We start from the raw sequence: 3,707 nt of genomic DNA on the forward strand, positions 1-3,707 counted from the left end.
TTTTTGGAGACGGGGTCTCACTCTGCTTCCTAGGCGCTGGAGTGCAGTGGTGCGATCTCAGCTCACTGCAACCTCCACCTCCTGGATTCAAGCAATTCTCGTGCCTCAGTCTCCTGAGTAGCTGGAACTACAGGCATGCACCACTATGTCCAACTTTTTGTATTTCAGTAGAGACAGGCTTTCACCATGTTGCCCAGGCCGGTCTCAAACTCCTGAGCTCAGGCAATCTTTGGCCTCCCAAAGTGCACGGATTACAGGCGTGAGCTACTGTGCCTGGCCTGAAAGACCTTTAAAAAAAATCATATATTCATTTACATTGGATTATTTCATTACTCTTCATTACGTTCAGTTTATCACTTTGTCAATTCCTTTAACAGTACTCTTCTCTTGATTCATGTAGCTTTAGAGGAGGGTAGCATTTATCTCAACAATCTTGGTGTTTAAAAGTTAACTTTTCCTAAAAGCCAATGGCTTAGCCTTTAAATTACCTTGGTCAAAAGTCGAAAATTATTTTTTCATCATGTAGGGGCCAATACCAAGGATTCACTACATGCTATGTAGCGGGTAGCTAATACAAACTATAATCAAAATAGACTTTAGAATATATTTTTAATCTATTATCACCAAACCTACAGAATTATAGTACTCTGTCTCATTTACGTAATGAGATGTCCAGCCAATTTATTATTATTATTATTATTGAGATGGAGTCTCACTCTCTCCTGGAGTGCAATGGCACGATCTTGGCTCACTACAACCTCCAAGTCCCAGGTTCAAGCGATTCTTCTGCCTCAGCCTCCCGAGTAGCTGGGATTACAGGCGCCCACCACTACCCTCGGCTACATTTTGTATTTTTAGTAGAGATGGGGTTTCACCACGTTGGCCAGGCTGGTCTTGAACTCCTGACATCAGGTGATTCGCCAGCCTCGAGCCTCCCAAAGTGCTGGGATTACAGGCGTGAGCCACCTCGACCAGTGCTAATTTATTATTATTCAGGTGCTACTTATTCATTTCCTACATAGTCAAGGGCCCTGTTATTTCTTATTCTCCTGCTTTTTTGTTTCCTAGAGTTGGCTTAGACTTGTTGATTCATTCCTTCAAAAAGCAGAAAGAAGTTTTAAAAATCTGTTTGCCTAATGACTTAACACATGTGGCTAAACCTAACCACCAAGGTCTGTTCCATCTTACTACACAAACAAGGTTTGGGCTGAATACATAGCTAGAATACCAGATTTTCCTGTTTTGAGATTAATTTTTTGGCAAAGAAATGGAGCAAAAGTGATATATGCCGCTTCCAGACCTGGTTCATGTTCTGGAATGTTCTCTAATGTTCTTCAGTCTCTGAACGACTGGGATGGCAATTCCTAGGGCAATCTTATAAGTATCATATTGAAGATTGCAGAACCACTGTCAGCCTGGGGCCCTGAAAGACTTCATACAACAGAGCTGCTGCTAATATGGAACCCTTGCCCTGACCAAAGAAATAAACTTCCTGTTCTTTAAGGAACCGAATTTTGAGGATTCTATTTGTTTCTGTAATTTATCCTCCCCTATCTAAAACAAAGTATGGAAACAAATTTTTAAAATCAAAAGCGCTATACAAATATTTATTGTAATTTAAACCTTAAGAATAAAATTACGATTAAATGAAAATATGTGATTTGCATTAAGGCCATATTTTATTTTTGTCTATTGTGCCTGTGTCCATGAGTGTGGTAATTGAGAGTTAGCTGTGTTGTAGAATGGCCCAACTCCAACCAGAACAAGTATCTTTATAGTTAAATAATTAAAAAAAAAAACACTACATTCTTGTTCCTATTTTCCCCGCCTTCTTCCCCCACTTCCCCCACACATGATTTCCATTCAATGAGGAAAACAGATTTTTAAAGGTTCTGAAAGTTATGACAATACCACTGAAAAAGGTGATGCATCTTTATCCTTAAAGCTCTCCCATTTTTAATGTTTTTCTGTTTCATTTATCAGTGGTTAAAAAAAAAAAAGAGCCTCAATTAGTAACTCGTATGTGAACAACACCTCTTTTTCACAACTGCTTGGTTTGTTTAACAAGGAAAAAGTGCTATCAACTTAAGAGTGAAAAGGTGTTTTTGAAGGTAGAGGTAATTATGGTGGGTTGTCAAACAACATAGTAATAGAAAACAAAATGAAGGACCCCTACAGCTTAAATATGAAGACTGTTGTAATTAATTTTGCAACATTTATTCTATAAGTTGGTGTGTGTGTGTGTGTGTGTGTGTGTGTGTGTTAGACCAGGTGCTCTGAGAATATAATGTGGAAAAAATAGTGTCTCCACTTTTATAGGGTTTATTTTTCAGTGGGACAAATAGGCATTAAACCAATTACTCATTAAAAAATTAAGTAATATAAAGGAAGAATACGGAGAATGTGTATTATTTGTCTTGGTGGAGTAGGCACAGGTTTTTCTGAGAATGTATGAGCAAAATGAGATCCAAAGGATCCTATTATTTTGTTTATAATAGTTAAATAGTTAATATTAATAACTAAATTAAAGAGAAAGTACAGGGAAAAGCATTCTAGTAGATGAAACAGGACAAATTCAAGGAACCAAGTGGGTCTGATGTGGTAAGAGTGTAGTAAGGGAAATGATTCTATAGAATTGGGCAGAAGAGTGTCTCATGGGGCACTTAAAATTAGGCGAAGAACTGTGCAAACACTGAAAGGATTTAAGAATGGGTGTGACATGTCTATATGATAGAGTTCATTATCACTATCTGGTGGAAAATGAATTTTCCCTATCAGCAGTGACTTTAAAAGGCAAGGTAAGGAAAAGTGATAGCTAGACTTTAGGTGGTGGTAGTAAAAATATAAATCAATGAATATTTAAAATATATTTGGAAAATAAATAGTAAAAAATTTTTTAAAATTGACAATTGATAACTTCTGTGTTAATATAAATTAGATAAAACTGTAGAGCACTTATGTTGGTATGACTGGGGTCTTTTTGTTTTTAAATTCTGCTCAGGAAATATAAAACCACAAATCAATGAATTACTGTTTGCTTCAGGCAATTCCATCAGACCAAGTTATTAGAGAGAGGACCCTGTCACCTGGTCAAGTAGCTTGCTTAACAGTTTAGTTATAAAGACTTACTTTACTGTTTCCACCAATTTTAAACTAGTAGATCATGAACTTTGCCCAATTCTCAATCAATGCCCCTTTGAGAAAGACTTTATTAAGCCACTTGAGGCCAGACTTTAAATGCTATAAATATCTCACCTCTAGTTTCCTTCTAAAGCACTAGGATTCTAACAAGACGGTATCCTATTTGCAGCACTTTATTAACAGATTGTTTAAAGATATTTTGGGGAGTTAATGTAAACATAGGAAGTTCAGAAACACTGGGATAGTCATACCATAAAATATATAAAGCTATTATTGCATTGAATTATGCTGTAGGGAAGTATTGTGATAGAAAAGTGTCACAATATATTAATAAAATTAAAGTTATTGAAAAGTTTACATATTTTAACCTCAGTTTTGTGTTTGGTTGTTTACATGGATAGATGATGGATAGATATTCAGTTCTCTAAGTAAAACTATTTTTAATTATGATTACCTCCTATGGAGGTGGAAATAAGAATAATTTTTTTAGAATTTTTTTTTTTTTTGAAACACACTCTGTCTCTGTTGCCCAGGCCTGAATGCAGAGTGCCACAATCATGGCTCAC

The sequence above is a fragment of the Homo sapiens genome, chromosome 4, assembly GCF_000001405.40.
Source record: "Homo sapiens chromosome 4, GRCh38.p14 Primary Assembly".
Lineage (NCBI taxonomy): Eukaryota > Metazoa > Chordata > Mammalia > Primates > Hominidae > Homo > Homo sapiens.